We start from the raw sequence: 18931 nt of genomic DNA on the forward strand, positions 1-18931 counted from the left end.
TGAAAATAATTAAATGGGAGGCCATCAGACAGAGGTGGCTCTAAAACCCCGGGTTCCTAAATCAGCAAACTGAAATATAACTCAGACTCATTTCCTATGATCGGCTAATTTAAAAGATGAAACTTGAACTCAGCTGATCACAGGCAGTCAACTTGGAATTAGTTATATTGTTCTGAACTTCCCATGGGAATCGTCCAAATAAGGTAATTGTTCAAACTTTAGCCAATTACATAATTTATTTGCTTCCAAATTTATCCTATAAAAGCTTTCCCTTCAATGACCTGTGGTGGAGCTCTGACCACTTGTGGCTAGATTCATAAATCACTGTTTGCGCACATAAGCTGTTTAAAATTTTAATACGCCTTAGTTTATCTTTTAACACTTCTATTTTATTCACTCTTCCCTCTGTGTTCTGAAATTTTGTTGACCTCTCTTACCTGACTTTTATCTTCTCTCTAACTCTTTGTGTTCTTGTGGACTTACACTATTTTAACTCCTTCCGTATCATTTTGATGGGGTTTGGGGAAGTAGCAGATATATGGAACTTCTTCAGGAACCCATGTGGGACAAAATTATTTCCATAAGCTCTGGGAATGCCTCACAGAGGACAGCAAATTTGACCTGGGTCTTTAGAAATGAGTAAGATTAGAGTGAGCTGCTGAGCTGAAAGGGAAATCCAAGAGAAGGAGGAAAATGGGAGAAGCTATGGTCTGAATGTTTATGTCTCTCATGAGTGTCCATGCATCTCAATTAGTACCCGTATAAAACAGCCCCTTCTACTATGTGAGGATGCATAAGAGGGCACCATCTATGAGGAAGTGGGCCCTCGCCAGACACCAAATCTGCCAGAGACTTTGTCTTGGACTGCCAAGCCTCCAGAACTGTGAGCAATAAAATTCTGTTGTTTATAAGCCACCTGGTCTATGGGATCTCATTATAGCAGCCCAGATGGACTAAGACAGGAGACTTTTAAGCCCACATGATAAGCTACGTTAATATAGAGATCAATGCTTTTCTTTTTTTTCCAGGGTTGAACCTTAAAAAGAGGTCAACTATTTGAAACTAAACAAGTTCTTGTAAATTAAAAAAAGCACCTTCAAAACACAGAGACAATCCAGACCATTTAGTTTAAGACATAACTTTGAGCCTTTCAGCTAGAGCGGGTTTTCAAAGTAGGAGTCATGAAGCTGCCTCCAGGAGGATGGCATTCTTTACACAACAGAAAGCCTCCACCATGGTGATATGGATGGGGGTGCAGAAGACAAACTTAGCCTCCAATCTACTCGGCTAACAACTCCCTAGGCCTTTAGGGCAGAACGGGTGGCCAGAATCGAAGTCAAATGGAGTTTATTCAGCTGGAGGAAGAACTTGCAGCATGGTTGCTCAACTTCAGGCCACGGATTTGATCCTACTTTATAGAGATGAGAATGAGTCTCTGAATGCACAGTGTTTAGGTTAGAAATCTGACACATTGGCAAGCATGAACGGTTCATGCCTGTAATCCCAACACTTTGGGAGGCCAAGGTGGGCGGATCACTTGAGAACAGGAGTTCGAGACCAGCCTTGCTAACATGGCGAAACCCTGTCTCTACCAAAAATACAAAAAAGAGCCGGGTGAGCTGGCACATACCTGTAATTCCAGCTACGCAGGAGGCTGAGGCAAGAGAATCACTTGAGCCTGGGAGGTGGAGGTTGCAGCGAGCTGAAATGATACCACTGCATTCCAGCCTGGGCGACAAGTGAGATTCTGTCCCCAAAAAAGAGAGAAATCTGACACATTCTTAAGAGACACCATAAAGGGATTTACTTGTTACTGAAAATCTTAGATTAGCTTTTTTCTCTTTGATTAAAAAATAACATAAATTAGAATAAAATACAGATTTAAATTTATATTCTATTTTATTCTATATTTTAGAGAAACATATTTGAGTTCCTCAACATCTAATATTTCTGCATTCTCACAGTATTTCTGTGATGTAATTTTTCAAAGGATCTGTGTACCATCCACCCCTTTCAAAGCTGAGAATTTCATATTAGATCATTGCAGCTTTGGAGAAAAATGCATTAAAATATAACAGTTCACATTCTTTTGTGAGAAAACATATATACAGCTATGTACCCGTATGTGTATATGTGCATATATATTACATGTACATATAGAATGTACATGTGCACACAGACACATATACATTTACACACATATGTATTTTGATATTTCAAATGCTCAATGCAGCATGGCCATAGGTAATAGCAATCTATTCTATTTTTAGTGGTAGCCATGTCATACAGATGTTTTGACACCATTGTAAATAGCAGAAAGGGGCTGCCCTCTCTCTTTTTTTTTTTTTTTGAGATGGAGTCTTGCTCTGTCACCCAGGATGGAGTGCAGTGGCGCGATCTTGGCTCACTACAAGCTCTGCCTCCCAGGTTCAAGCGATTCTCCTGCCTCAGCCTCCCAAGTAGCTGGGATTACAGACACGTGCCACCACGCCCAGGTAATTTTTGTACTTAGTAGAGATGGGGTTTCCCCACGTTGGCCAGGCTGGTCTCGAACCCCTGGCCTCAAGTAGTCTGCCTGCCTCGGCCTCCCGAAGTGCTGGGATTACAGGTATGAGCCACTGCACCCGTCTGGACTACCCTCTCTAAAGAACAATGCCAAGCAGAAATTACAACCCTCTGATGAGTGGCATATAGAGAAAAGCATCCTATGGTATCAGCCAGAGGAGAAAATAGGGGCTCTACAGCAAGATGCGGACATGTGTGCAAACACCCTGAGCCAAGAGTTTCCTCAGGAACCAACCATAAGCTCTTTGGGGGCCTGTGGTGGTGGTAGTCCTAGGAGGTGGAGATGGGGGTTCGAGGAAATGCAGAAGGTTTTGTATGTAATGAAGTGTTTTCTTTTCATGGACAGAGACTGTTTTTCTATCCCAAAGGTCTGGGGGAGCCATAAAAACATTTTAGGGAAAATGTCATCAATTCCTGTTTTAGAGTCACAATGGCAGGGTTGGTGTGAAGAACAGGCTGATATTGGAAGGCCAATGTGGAAGCTGCTCAACTCTCCAGTTAAGTGTGATGTGAGCGTACACTAAACACACAGCAGGAGGAAGGGAGGCTGGGAGACACATTTAAGAGCTAACTAGTAGGTAGCATTGAGAGGAGTTGGTGACTACCTAGATGTGGTAAAAGAAGGAGTCTGGGATGACTTCAGGGTTTCCAATTTTGACCAGTAGGGATGGTGGTGACAGTAACTGAAAAAAGAAAAACAAGTGTTCCAGTTCCATGTGGCAGACTGAACAAATGTGTTTAAATCTCCTACTTCCTAAAGCCTGACTAAAATGATATTGGTGCAGAAGGGAAATAAATCTATAAGGACAAAGAGTTTGAGAGAGAAGAAAAAATCAGAAGAGAGATGTTAATCAAATCATAGAACACAGATGGAATGGTAGAACCTACTGTATTTAGCAGAGCAGAGAAAGCTAAAGCCTCACTGTCTGCAGAAGGGAAATTCAGTCATAATCAAGGCCATTTAGGTGCAGCACCACCGGAAGGCCCAGGACTGGAGGATCCAGGTCCCTGGCAAATTCAGAGAAAAGAAAGGGCCCAAATGAGAATAAGTACTTGAAAATCTCATACAGTGAGCAGTAAGATGACAGCATCCCACCCCCCAGCCTATGAAGCTGGCAACTTTCCCTGCTTCCCCAGGCTGAAGACAAAATGTTCTTTTCCCAGAGTAGCCCTACAGAGTGGATCTGGGCTCAGGCCACCTGGCACAGCATGGGGGGGAGATGAGGGGCTTTATTGAAATCAGGGAATTACATGGATGACTGCATGTTGATTGGTGATAGCTCAACCCCTTTGTTCTGCCTCCCTTCCAGACTGACGGCATCCAGATTTAATAAAACCCTACACCTCCCCACCACTGGGCAGGACATTATTGTAGACTTTCTATCTGCAGTTGTGGAGTCCTACCACCCTAGAAATAGTCCAGTGTTTGGGTGCAGGTGTGCCCCTTCCTCACATCCTGTTCACTGCTCTACTACAGGTACTCAGGTGAAATGCAGAATTTAACAAGCCTGACCTTGCACACGGTTTCCAATCAGTTTTTTTAAAATGCTTTTAAAAAAAGTATGAATGAAAAGCAAATGAAGACAAGACATCTGGAGAAAGTCTTCAGTACCAAAGGTAAGAGACTCCAAGAAACTGAAAAGGAAACAGAAAACAATTTAGGGAAGAGTAGAAGACTTAAAAAAATCAAACACAACAAACACTCAACTACAATCAATTTCTTTGAATAGATAAGATAATGGTATAAAGAAAAAATATTTGGAGAAAAAGAAGCGGTCTTAAATATTAAAATGATGACGGCAGAAAATTTTAAAAATTTAGTCAGTTTGGAAAACAAGTTTGGAGAAATCTCTTTGAAAGAAGAGCAAAGAGGTAGAGGAATGGGAAACAGGAGATGGGAGATTTAAAGAAAGAAAAACAAAGAATTGACCTAACACGTTTCATATCCAAGATGTAGGAATCCCAGAAAGAGAAAATAAAGTGGAGAAAAATATCAAATAATTAAATACAAAGATGTTTCCCAGTATAGAAGGTCATAGGTTTCTGGCTTCAAGGAGCCACTGTATAAGTAGGCCCAGAACAATGAATGAGGAAGGCCTGAGCCAAGGACAGCCGTCACAGTGAGCAAATGGATGATGGGCTGGGGGAGAACAGGAACAAGAATCAGAATGGCCTTGGACTTCAGCCACCAGCCCTGAAAGCTTGAACAGAATGCCTTCAACATTCTGAAAGAAAATAGTGCCTTACCTAGGTTTCCCTATTCCCAGACAAACCATTGATCTAGTGTTGGGGGGACAATAGAGAGAAAAATCAGTGCAGAATAAACCTGGCATTCGGGACAATGTGGACGACAGTGCCCTCCGCTGTGCTGGAGGGTCCTGACAGCCTCAGGAGGAGTGGGACCTCAGAATGCATGTCTCCAATTGGAAAAATTGGGGAGAAAATGATATGTGATTTTTCGTGATTATACTAAGAGATTTATAATTCTATTAGAAAGTTTGGGGCTGAATTAATGACGACTTTACCCAAACCCAAGTGAACAAGCAAATGAAAAAACCAAGTCAATCACTAAATCCAAGAAAAATAAAATAGTTGTATAAGAAAGGGAATTATAATACCTAGTCTGAACAATGCTTTTAATAGAGGAGGTGTGTGTGTGGATGTGTGTGTGTGTTTGCAGGCACATGTTGTGTACAGCATTAAACCTTCATTGATCTTTCATAGCTAGAATTTAGCAGATAGTAGTTAAAATTAAAGTAAGAAAAAAATAGCTGGATAGTCATACTATATTTAATTTTTTTTTTTTTAGACAGAGTCTCTCTCTGTCACCCAGGCTGGAGTGCAGTGGCGTGATCTTGGCTCACTGCAATCTCTGCCTCCCAGGTTCAAGTGATTCTCCTGCCTCAGCCTCCAGCGTAGCTGGGATTACAGGTGTGTGCCACCACGCCCGGCTAATTTTTTTTTTTTTAATTTTTAGTAGAGATGGGGTTTCACCATGTGGGCCAGGCTGGTTTCGAATTCCTGACCTCAAGTGATCCACCCGCCTCGGCCTCCCAAAGTGCTAGGATTACAGGCATGAGCCACCATACCCAGCCTAGAATTTTTTATCCTAAGATTCATCTTGGGCTCTTTCACTGATTTATTTTATTATTATTACTATAATTAGGCTGCAGCTTAGGTTGTCATCCAGGTGGCAATGTTGTCACAGTTGTCATTGCCTGCACATGCCCGTCAAACATACAGAATAGCTGTCAGGAGCTTAGAAGAAAATTCCAAAGACAGTAGCTGCTCACTCCTTAACTAAGGGCAGCATCTTCAGCACTCTTGCTTGTTGAGAGCATGGTATTTGGAAACCATAGTTTCTGAATTATGGGACATAGGTCCCATATGTCCAATTATGGGACAACCATAATTCTGACACTGCAAGTGAGCTAGCTAGGAGATTGCATTTTGAATGTGTTAAAAATATCTTAATCTATTTTACTTTTAATTTTTTATACATGTACAAGGGGGATAAATAATGAAAAAGTGTCTCATATATTTCTACTCTAAGAGCACTTTTGATAAGTATTAAATATAAGTCTGAGAAATTTGAAGTGATACAAAGTCTTTCAGAGTTCATTAACAGTGTTTTTTTATTTTTTCTTGATGATGAAGAAAATGATACTGTTTTTTAGTTCAATGGCATCTTAATAACTATTTGGTGAAACTACAAAAGAATGAAAAGTGATTCTATAGGAATAAGGAAAGTGAGTAGTTTACAGATATTTAACACTAAATGACAAATGTGAGGTTTCTTTGATGAAATATTGAAATTAAATAACAGAAAAGCTTCTAGGAGATGGGGCTTCGGGCAGATGGTTGGCAAAGTTGAGCTGGGCCTGAGATGATAATACATGAACTTTCCTTTAAGAACCTGTTTTTCCCTATTCCACCAAAACCAAAACAAAAAACCCTAAGAAAACACTGCAAGTGAAGATCTACTAACAGGCAGGTTTTGGGCATGGAGATTCAGGGCGAGGTCTGTGCTGGACTCAGCTTGGGGAGTCGCAGTGCCTGGGGGCTGGACTACGGTTAGAGTTCTCCAGTCACCAAGAACCTGCTGTTTCACTGAGGACCAGAAGCACATGAAAGGAGAATGCTTTTCCAATAGCTTCAAAGGAGTCGAATTGTTTTGAATAATTAGCTATGAGACTGTTCCCCATAGTTTACAAAGAAAAGTCATTGATATATTTTTAAGGTCATCATTTGATTCACAAAATAAGCAAAAAAAATTTTTTGAATGAGGCAATGACTCAGAGTGCAGAATTATTTTATCATTATTCATGTAAAAAGATATTAATAAATTGTATTATGTGCCAAGCACTATGCTAGGAACTCAAACTGAATTATTTCATCAACTCATCCCAAAAGCACTAAGGAATCATTACTAACACTGTCCCTGTGTCACAAAGAGGGCAACTTGCCCAGCGTTGCATGGGAGCTGGCCTGTGGTGGGAAAGTGGGTTCTGACTCTGGGGGCAAAGCCGGGAGCTGGGATGTCCGCGAGCTGCTTCTGAACGCTGCCCATAGGGAGTTATCTTTTGTAAGGTCCTTCAGCACCACCAAAATACGTACCTCTAAAAATTACGGGCAAAACAGAAACAGGGCAGGTATTTCGTTGGTTGATTGACCCACTTATTTATTAATTTATTCAATAAATATATATTAATATATAACTAAGAAAAATGTATATGTATATTAATAATACACACACACACACACACACACACACACACACACACAAATTTAAGAACCTCTATGGACCAGGCACTGTGAGGAGTACCAGGGATATGACAGTGAAGAAGAGAAAATAAACACCTCAAACAACCCAGGATGTTGTGTTGCTTGATATTGGGTGCCGTAACAAGTAGAACAGGAGGAGCAAATAAACCAGGGAGGCAATGGGGCCAGGGTGGTCCAGGGAGGATGTGGAGGAAGGTCTGGGGGAGGCTATCAGCTGTGCACAGTGCCCAGGAAAGAGGATGCCAGGAGGGGCCTGGGCTTGGCCGGGGTGTCCATAGCAGAGCCAAGGTGCTTGTGTTGGAAAGAAGGGTCGTCCACGTGGCCAGAGGTTGTGATAGGAGAGGGGTGGTCACAAGGTGTCACCGAAGAGGTAGAGAGGAATCTGGCACTCACAGATAGAGTTGTTTGAATTTTATTCTAATTATAAAGGGCAGTTACTGGAGCATTTTGAGGGCGGGGATAGGATCTGATTTGCAGCTGAAAACTATCGATGCCCTGAAACAGGAGCTTGAAGCCTTGTTCTCACGTCTAAAGCCATCCAAATATAGGGGCCACTGTGGTTTTTGTCTGGTTTTACAACTCAGTTAATCCCAATGAATAATTGAGTACATAAAATCTATTAATTAGGGCTGTTAAAAAAGATGTGATGGAAAGATGATCAATGGAACCACCAGGCGTGGAAATAATGTGAGTCTATGTGCGTATATGCAGGGCGAGCTTGAGCTTCACCCAAAATCTGTGGGTCTAGAACTTACTTCTCTCTTACAGCACAGGCACACCTCTTCTTCTTGTGTGTCACTTCACTGCATTTTACAGATGCTGCAGTTTTTACGCATTGAAGGTTTATGGCAACCCTGCATCGAGCAAGTCTGTTGATGCCATTTTCCCAACAGTGTGTGCTCACTTTCAGTCTCTGTCCATTTTTGGTAATTCTCACACTATTTCAAACTTTTTTGTCATCATCATATTTGTTATGGTGACCTGTGATCAGTGATCTTGGATGTTACCATTGTGATTGTTTGGGAGCACCATGAAATGTGCCCACATAAGAGGGTGGACTGAACTGGTAAAGTGTTGTGTGTGTTCTGACTGCTCCACTAACCAGACCTTCCCCTGTCTTGCCCCTTCTCCTCAGGCCTCCTTATTCCCTGAGTCATAACAATTTAAGTTAGGCCAATTAATAAACCTACAATGGCCTCCAAGTGTTCAAGTGAAAGGAAGAGTCACACAACTTCTACTTTAAATCAAAAACTAGAAATGATTAAGCTTGGTGAGGAAGGCATGTCAAGTTCTAGATCTCTTGCACCAAACAGCTAGCCAAGCTGTGAACTGGGAATGCAAACCAGGAGCTATTGAAGGACATTTAAAATGCTACTCCTGTGAACACACAAATGATAAGAAAGCAAACAGCCTTATTGCTGATATGGAGAAAGTTTGAGTGTTCTGGATAGGAGATTAAACCAATCACAATACTCCATTAAGCCAAAGCATAATCCAGAGCAAGGCCCTCTCTTCAATTCTATGAAGGCTGAGAGAGGTGAGGAAGCTGCATAACAAAAGTTTGAAACTATGAGAGGTTGGCTCATGAAGCTTAAGGAAAGAAGCCACCTCCATCACATAAAGTGCAAGGTGAAGCAGCAAGTGCTGATATAGAAACCGCAGCAAGTCATCCAGAAGATCTAGCTAAGATCATTGATGAAGGTGGCTACACTAAACCACAGGTTTTCAATGTAGATGAAAGAGCCTTCTATTGGAAGAAGATGTCATGGAGAAGTCAATGACTGGCTTCAAAGCTTCAAATGACAGGCTGATTCTCCTTAGGAGCTAATATAGCTGGTGACTTTAAGTAGAAACCAATGCTCATTTACCATTCCAAAAATGCTAGGGCCCTTAAGAATTATGTGATATCAGCCAGGCGCGGTGGCTCACACCCATAATTCCAGCACTTTGGGAGGCCGAAGCAGGTGGATCATTTGAAGTCAGGAGTTCACGACCAGCCTGGCCAACATGGTGAAACCCCCTCTCTACTAAAAATACAAAAATTAGCCAGGCGTGGTGGCGTGAGCCTGTAGTCCCAGCTACTCAGGAGGCCGAGGCAGGAGAATTGCTTGAACCTGGGAGGCAGAGGTTGCAGTGAGCTGAGATCATGCCGCTGCACTCCAGCCTGGGTGACAGTCAGACTCCATCTCAAAAAAAAAAAAAAAAAAAAAAAGAATTATGTGAAATCTCTGACTGTGCTCTATAAATGGAATGGCAAAGACAGGATGAGAGCACATTTGTTTACAGATGCACATGGTTTAATGAATATTTTAAGCCCACTGTTGAGACCTACTGCTCAGAAAGAAATATTCCTTTCAAAATATTACTGCTCAATGACAATGGACCTGGTTACCCAAGAGCTCTGATGGAGATGTCCAAGGAGGTGAATGTTTTCATGCCTGCTAACACAACAGATGAAGGGATAATTTCAACTTTTGAGTCTTATTAAGAAATATATTTCATAAGGAAATAGCTGCCATAAAAAGTCCTCTGATGGATCTGGGCAAAGTACACTGAAAACCTTCTGGAAAGGATTCACCATTCTAGATGCCATTAAGAACATTCATGATTTGTAGAAGGTCAAAATATCAACATAACAGGAGTTTGGAGGAAGTCAATTTCATCCCTCCTGGATGACTCTGAGGGCTTCAAGACTTCAATGTAGGAAATAACTCAGATGTATTGGAAACCACAGAAGAACTGGAAATACAAGTGGAGCCTGAAGATGTGACTCAATTGCAGCAATCTCATGATAAAACATGAACTGATCAGGAGTTGCTTCTTATGGATGCGCAAAGATTTTTTTTTTTTAAGTTGGAATCTACTTCTGGTGAAGACACTGGGAACATTGTTGAAATGACAATAAAGGATTTTGAAAATTACATAAACTTAGTTGATCAAGCAGTAGCTTTGAGAAAGTTTGAGAGGATCGACTCCAATTTTGAAAGTTGTTCTACTGTGGGTAAAATGCTATCAAACAGCATCACATGCTACAGAGACATCTTTCATGAAAAAAGAGTCCAGTGATGTGGCAAACATCACCGTTGTCTTAGAAATTGCCACAGCCACGTCAAGCTTCAGCAGCCGCAACCCTGATCAGTCAGCAGCCATCAACATGAAGGTAAGACCCTCTCCCAGCAAAAAGATAAGGATTTGCTTTATTGCAGTGGGCTGGAACTGAATCTGCAATATCTCTGAGGTATGTCAGTATTCATTTTCTACTGCCATTATAATAAATCACCATAAAACCAGCTTAAAACAATATCCATTTATCTCATAGTTTCTGTGGTTCAGAAGTCCGGGCACAGCGTAGCTCAGCTTCTCCTCTGCCCAGAATCCCAAAGGCCAAGATCAAAGTCCAGCACTGCTCTGTGGGGCTCTGGAGAAGAACCTGCTTTCAAGCTCATTCAAGTTGTAGCAAATTTCAGTTTTGTAGGGATGTAGGATTGAGGTCCCTTTTCCTTGCTGTCTACCTGGAGGCACCTGTACTCCCTGCCTGCTTCACAGCCAGCAGGGGTGTCTCAAAAGCTTCTCCTGCTTCCCCTCCATCTCTATGCATGCCTCCACCTTTCTCTTCAGCCACATCTCTCTGGTTGCTTTTAAGGTCTCCAGGGGTGAGTTTGGAGAGCCTCCCTATTTGAGGTCTGTGACCTTTATAGCTGTAGCTGCATTCGTGTTTAATGGCATAACTAGAGGACAGAATCTTGGAGGACCCTCTTTACAATTCTGCCTACCACAATAAATATTTTTAGTGATGGAGACATTATTTTAAACCAATTCACTGAGGACCAAAGAGGGCTCTATTAAGCAACTCAACAACAACAAAGAGAAACAGATTTGAGACAAACATAATTTAAACAAAGCTAGAAAAGGCTTTAAAACATCTTTTAGCATGCCTTGCATTAGTAAGCACATGTGCAAATGTATGCCATCAGAAGGCTATGGTAATATCTATTTAGAAGTGCACCACCGGACTGAAATCTAGACTATGTTGAGATTGTATTTCTCAATATTTCTGGTATAGTAGGTGTCTAAGACTTCTTATCAGTTATTTAATACAGACATTTAAATAGTTGATATTGTTTCACATATATGTATAGACACTACAGTGGGAATGTCTAGTTTTATAAAAACAAATCTATTTGGTGCCACTAATACATGAAATTTTGACAGGTGGCAGAAATCAAATGACATTTACAGAAATTCAAACAAAATCTTCGCTTAATATTACTCTCCTTTCCCCCACCCTTAATCAATCTTGAAATGTCAGGCTGCAGGCAGCCACTGTGTCTATTTGGAGGTGGATACTGAAGCTGACCTCCCAGAATTTCCTCCTTCCATCCCCCTTGGCAACAACAGCAGTTTCTTATTTTTAGTTTTCTGGGAGAGGAAGACAGAGAGAGAGAGAGAGAGAGAGAGAGAGAGAGAGAGAACACTGAAACTGTATATTTCTATGAGATGCTGGAGTCTGATAGGTCCTTTGAAGAATGAAGATGCAAAAATATTAGGTTGATGCAAAAGTTATTGCAATTTTTTCCATTACTTTTAATAGCAAAAACTGTAATTTCTTTTGCACCAACCTACACATTTTTCTTTTAATGAGATGATAAGCATATAGAGAGGGGTCTTGAAACAGCTAGATGCCTTTTGTGTTATTTTGGGGCTTCTAGGCTGCCTTTCTGCTGCCCCCTAACCCTCCCTTCATCTCCTCATCCACACTTTTACAATAACCCCAAAGCTATTATTAATATTAAGGACCAATAAAAAGTTGGTAGAATTTAGAGAGATTGAAAATATTTTTTATTTCAGTGAAAGTTAAATATCTGGTCTAGAGAAATACTCAGGGTATAAATATGTCAATACTTTCATGGCTGTTCTCATAAAACTCAGCTCCAAATTTTAGCTAGGAAAAAACAGCAGAGTGTCGATGAAGAGAAGAATGAAATTTCAGGATTCCTGAATGACCACTAAACTACCAATGCATCCAACTATGTTACAATAGCCACAAGCACCGGCAAACAGCCAGCCAGCCAAAGGCTGTGGCAGCAACGTGGGCTGCCAGGACCCTTGCTCCGGCCCCATGCCTTGCTCTCTTTCCATAAAGGGGGTCATGTGATACAACCGTGGCAATGCCACAGGGCAGAATCTGCAGTGAGTTCCTAAGGAAGCTTTTGCCTCCCTCTCCTCCTGCATGCAATGGGGAGCTGATGGCTGCAGTGGCTGCAACGTGGACCTGACTATGAAGCAAAGGGGGAGAGAACTGCAGACGAGCTGCCTTCACACAACATCATGAATCCATGCCAGGACCACGTACCCCGACCTTTTTGTTATGTGAGGAAAATCACCCTCTCTCGGGTAAGCATCTGTAGTTGGGTTCGTGCTGCTTATGGCCTCCAATAGCCTGAATGGTAACACACACTTCTCACCAGGACTCCCTCAGGGTCTCCCGTCTCTCTTCTGGCCGCTCTCTCTCCCCAGCCCTCCTCCTAGCTACCACCCCTTGCTGCTGATGCACTGACTTTGATGCTCTGCTGAACTCTCGTGTGGCCTGTCAACTTGCCTGAACTCCCTGTCCTGCTCTGTTCATTTTTACTCCCTCCTGACACATAGCTCTGTGTGCTTCTTTATTTGGTAGCCTTTGCAGCTCAGAGTAAAAGGTATTTCATTTGCGAAAGCAACACAACACAACAGGTTTGCCTCCTGCTCTCCCTGCAAGGGGAGGGGCCGGACTCATCCCATCCCTTTTAAACTTTAAACCACTATTAGGACTGCTGAAGGGAAAATTAGTGTGTAAAAATAAAATGTCCCCAGTGATGTGCACACCCATTTTTCCATGTGTTCTTTTTTTTTTTTTTAATTATACTTTAAGTGCTGGGATACATGTGCAGAACATGCAGGTTCGTTACATAGATATACACATGCCATAGTGGTTTGCTGCACCCATCAACCCGTCACCTACATTAGGTATTTCTCCTAATGCTATCCCTCCCCTAGCCCCCCACCACCCAACGGGCCCCAGTGTGTGATGTTCCCCTCCCTGTATCCATATGTTCTCACTGTTCAACTCCCACTTACGAGTGAGAACATGTGGTGTTTGGTTTTCTGTTCCTGTGTCAGTTTGCTGAGAGTGATGGTTTCCAGCTTCATCCATGTCCCTGCAAAGGACATGAACTCACCCCCTTAAGGCTGCAAAGTATTCCATGGTGTATATGTGTCACATTTGCTTTATCCAGTCTATCATTGATGGGCATTTGGGTTGGTTCCAAGTCTTTGCTATTGTGAACAGTGCTGTAGTAAACATATGTGTGCATGTGTCTTTACAGTAAAATGATTTATAATCATTTGGGTATATACCCAGTAATGAGATTGCTGGGTCAAATGGTATTTCTGGTTCTAGATCCTTGAGGAATTGCCACACTGTGTTCCACAATGGTTGAACTAATTTACACTTCCACTATCAGTGTAAAAGCATTCCTATTTCTCCACATCCTCTCCAGCATCTGTTGTTTCCTGACTTTTTAATGATCACCATTCTAATTGGTGTGAGATGGTATCTCATTGTGGTTTTGATTTCATTTCTCCAATGACCAGTGATGATGAGCTTTTTTTCATATGCTTGTTGGCCGCGTAAATGTCTTCTTTTGAGAAGTGTCTGTTCATATCCTTCACCCACTTTTTGATGGGGTTGATTTTTTCTTGTAAATTTGTTTAAGTTCTTTGTAGATTCTTGATAGTAGCCCTTTGTCAGATGGATAGAGTGCAAAAATTTTCTCCCATTGTGTAGGCTGCCTGTTCACTCTGACGATAAATTTCTTTAGGTGTGCAGAAGCTTCTTTTGGTACTTAAAATATTTTTAGTACTGCATTGGCAAATCAGGAAAATGCTGATGAGAAGAAAATGTACTTGCTCCGTTATTAACAATCTACATTTCGCTATACCTTTAAAACAGACTCATTGAGGTTTTAGACTCAATTACTGTAAAGCCAGCATACAGTGTATGGGACCAGGAACTTGCACACTGTGTGATTACCACAGAGTTTTCAGGGAGGAATATAATGACAAACTTTAGTGAGATGGGTTTGTGGTATTTATATTTTTTCTTATTTCTTTTTAGCTAGGTGTTTCTCATATCCAACATAAGTGGAGGTTTGAATAAGCTAATAGATTATACAATAGATTTGAAGGTACAAACATGTTTTACATATGAAATGGCATGGGATGGGGGGCAACCTATTACAATCCCAGGAAGCCAGTGCCAGAACTGCCAATCGGAAGATATGGCCTGGGCCTTCCTGTTAAATCGGTAGATTCCTTGTCTATTAGAAAATGCTTTAATGTACTCATCAATGAATTACAACAAAGGAAAAAGACTGTGAGAAAGTAAAATCCTTAAGGCTCACCTAAATCTGACCAAAATGTGCAGGTAGAACCAGTGTATGGGACACCAAACGGGTGCTGTACCTCTCCACTTCCACACTGAAGCTTGGAATTATGTATGATCATAAGAACTACTCTGTGTTCATGACAATTTGCTTAATCAATGTTACTTTGGATTTACTACACATGTTCTAGCAAACTGCAACATATATTTTTTTCCTATCGTACATGAAGTGTTTGGTGTGGAACTTTATTTTATATCCCATGCTCGTTAATTCCCTAAGCACAGCTCCCATTTTTCAACTGCTGCTTTGAGAAAAGGAGTTATTTGGTTTGATAATCCTTTCCCTCTCCTGACCTTGTTGCCCCAGGATATGAACAACTTCAATAAGCAATGCACAAGGGAAGTACTTTGTGTTTTGCCCGGAAAGCCACAGAATCTTTGAATGCAACAGACACTCTCTCAAGGTAAAAGACTATGTCCAAATTTTTTTTTGCTTGCCCAAATTTTTCCCCAGCTTTTCCTTTTCTCTCTCACTTTTCTTTTTCCAGAAAAATACCAAAAAATTAAACTAAAGGTTTATTCTCAGTATTATGCCCAAACCTACCTACAAACAATACATCAATATAAGACTAATTGTGCATAAAATTCAAATTCTATTGCACTGCCGCATAAAAATGCAAAATGCTACAGTGGTATAATGTCTAATGCTGAGCCCAGTTCCATAAGAGCTGCCCCAAGACAGCTTGTACAGATGCAATTATCTCTCACACACTCAAACTGCTTTCTTTCACAACATTACTTTTATTATGCAAATGTATAAATCTAATTTTAATCCAAAAGACCATCTAGAAGATTAAAACCGCACTCGTGTCTTACTTTCACTAAGTGTAATTAAAGATACTAAAAATGTTTTTCACTGGAGGAAGGATTTTAGCCACCAGGTCAAGAAACCACAAAGGGCGCCATGGAGCTGCCAAGCTGACTTCGCATTCATCTTCATTCTTGAGTGGTTCTGGTGAAGCAGAAGTGATAGAAAAATGAGCCACAGTAGCAGCAGTTTTCGGCAGAGGGCAGCAGATGCTCTTCACTTGGAAGAGACAGAAAGTCCTGGCAGAGCCTGAAGTGGTTCTGAATCCGCCGGGTCTGAAAGGTCATTTTGTTAATCACAAAAAGGCTGAAGATCTACAAGGTAGCAAGGACACAGATTGCCTGGTTTCACAGACATATGGTCACCGGCACAAGAATTTTTGGCAAGCCTGTAAAGCAAGCCTTTACAAAAACTGTCTTCATTAAAAAAAAAAAAAAAAAAAGAGTGACGCAATCTCGATGCCCAGAGTAGCTAAGGCCACCATAGGGAAAGTCATTTGCTAAGCTGCTTTTTTTTTTTTTTTCTTCTCCTTACTTTCCTGTTTTACTGTTCTATATCCAGGTAATGGTAGTTACAGCAGAAGTTTTTTATTTTTTTCAATAGGTCTATCAATAATTGTTACACTATAAACTTTTCATATGATAAAATTGGTAATAATGATATCTATATAACAATAACTAACATTTACAGGGTTCTTACTTGGTATCAGTTTAAGCTCTTTGTATAGATAGTTTTATTTTAAATCTCACAGTGACCCTGAAATATTACTATTACCATTTCCTAAATGAGAGAACTGAGGCTGAGAGAGCAATTTATCCAGTCACACTTGGTATGAAGCAGCAGTAGCCCTTGACTTGAATTGGGGTCTCTGAGACAGCAGAGTCTAGAACTGTACCCTCCAATATGGTAGCTGCAAGCCACAAGTGGTTATTTCAGTGCGTCTATGCTGAATGGAGAGAGGACTGTGAAATACATGCTGGATTTTGAAGACTCTGTGTGAAATCAGAAAGTATCTCAATAATTTTTACATCGATTACATGTTAAAATTATAATATTTTGGATGTATTAGGTTATATAAAATATATTATTAAAATTAACTTCACCTTTAATGTGGCTATTAGAAAGCTTACAATTCTATAATTGTATAATTGGTACACATTATTCTTTTTTTTTTTTTTTTTTTTTTTTTGGAGATGGAGTCTTGCTCTGTCTCCCAGGCTGGAGTGCAATGGTGTGATCTCAGCTCACTGCAACCTCCACCTCCTGAATTTGAACGATTCTCCTGCCTCAGCCTCCTGAAGTACCTGGGACTACAGGCATATGCCACCATGCCCAGCTAATTTTTTTTTTTTTTTTGTATTTTTAGTAGAGATGGGGTTTCACCATGTTGGCCAGGCTGGTCTTGAACTCCTGACCTCAGGTGATCCGCCCGCCTCGGCCTCCCAAAGTGCTGGGATTACAGGTGTGAGCCACTGTGCCCAGCTGGTACACATTATATTTCCATTGGTCCTGTTGGCTTTAGATCCTTGACTCCCACGCTGTACAGCCCATTGTCCCAAGACACCTTCTTCCTCGCCATTCTCAGGAAAATGAATGACGTTAAGGAATTCTGTAAAATTTCTCGACCTGAACCTTGGTAGTTCCTCTCACTGAATTGATTTGTTTGATAGGAATTATGTCGGATGTAGGTATCACATGGAATGGAAGGAGGACAGAATTCAGGGATAAGAGGGAAGAAACCACTACTAGCATCACCTCTCACTGTGTAGACAGGAACATCAGAGGAATCCGAATCTCCACTTTGCATCGACATTTCCTGGACAGGATTACCTCTCAACTTTAAGACTCCAACTTCTAGAGTTTACATAGATTATTGGTCAGGATAGTAACTAAGGGATCCAATGCGTGAATATTTGAACAACCTACAGTCATGGAAGGAAAATTTTTGTTTTGATTCATCTATGTTAAAAAACCTTCAAGCTCTTCTTGGCAAGCACTGGGCCAGAGACAACGTGTCTTTGGTTTACAGAGAAGTTTCCCCATCTTTTTCTTTTATCAGCACATCTCTTTCATTTCAACAAAGATTCTCAACCAGGAAATGGTCACCATGGAAGGCAGTGAGATGGAGGATAGGCTGTATAATTCCGATGACTATCCAGGGGGATTCTGGCAAGGTGCCTCCTGTCCACCTTTATGTTCGGTGCTTCAAGGGCTCACTTGAGTTTCTGCATTCTTCTGTTGATGCTTACCATCAATGCCCCTGACAGCCTGGGTGAGGGTGCAGGGGAGAGGCTCAAAGGGGCCAGGGTTTTGCTGTCTGTCATGTGCCACTCTATTAGTCAGGCTTCTCCAGAGAGACAGAAGCAATAGGATAGATCTTTAGGTAGATAAAGATACATATATGAGGGGAGATTTCTTAGAGGAATTGGCTCATGTGATGATGGAGGTTGACAAGTTCTAGGACAGGCCATCTACAAGCTGAAGACCCTGGGATGCTGGTCGTGTGGCTCAGTCCAAATCCCAAAACCTTGGAACCAGAGAAGCTGATAGTGTAATTCTCAGTCTGAGGCTGGTGGGGGTTGGGTGCTGATGAAAGTCCTTGAGTCCCAAGGCTGGGGGTCCTGGGGTCCTGATGTCCAAGGGCAGGAGGAGGAGAGTGTATCCCAGCTCCAGTAAAGAGAAACTAATTTGTTTTCCTTTGTTTTTCCTCTATATAGGCCCCCAGGAGCCTGAATGGGGCCCGTCCACATTAAGGGCTGATCTTCCCCTTCCCCAATCAATCCACTTGGACTCACATCCCAACCTCCTCTGGAAACACCCTCACAAACACACCCCAAAATAACACTATACCAGCTCTCTAGCTATTCCTTAATCCAGTCAAGTCGACACCTAAAATTAACCATTACAGCCGCACATTTTGGTTCATAGGAAAGAACTTTAAAGCTACTGATCTAGTTAACCTTGCTGGTCACCCATAAATGAGAAAGGATGTGAATCAAGGAGGAAGGAGACGTGCTCTACAACATAGGCCACCCACACTCACTCCTAGTATGTTACCAAGTGACAAATTCACACATCACATTCCATTGTAGAAAAAAAAGTCACTTCTTAATTTCCTCAATATCTGATCTCACCTTCCGCTTAAGCCACCCTCTGTTTTTCTCCCCAGAGAGGATGCCTTACCACGTGTATGCCGCCTATCTCAGTATCTGCTGGTGTAACGAGCGCTTTTGGTACCTGTTAGGCCCCCCGTCTCCAACTCCTCGCACCTCCTTTCCAAGGTGGTGACTGGG

The 18931-nt window shown here is 41.5% G+C and overlaps 1 protein-coding gene across 6 annotated transcripts in view, besides 1 other annotated feature; it reads right to left on the reverse strand.

Annotated features, from left to right (window-relative positions):
- Positions 1–18931, reverse strand: part of PRKN (parkin RBR E3 ubiquitin protein ligase) — a 1380350-nt gene that overhangs the window by 255763 nt on the left and 1105656 nt on the right. The window lies entirely within an intron of this gene.
- Positions 15658–15952: a silencer, noted in NCBI's record as "tiled region #5576; HepG2 Repressive non-DNase unmatched - State 12:CtcfO, and K562 Repressive DNase matched - State 12:CtcfO". NCBI's record gives its function as "represses a minimal TATA promoter and a strong SV40 promoter by Sharpr-MPRA in HepG2 and K562 cells {active_cell/tissue: HepG2 | K562}" and the evidence as "EXISTENCE:reporter gene assay evidence [ECO:0000049][PMID:27701403]".

This window comes from Homo sapiens, chromosome 6, assembly GCF_000001405.40.
Source record: "Homo sapiens chromosome 6, GRCh38.p14 Primary Assembly".
NCBI classification, from domain to species: domain Eukaryota; kingdom Metazoa; phylum Chordata; class Mammalia; order Primates; family Hominidae; genus Homo; species Homo sapiens.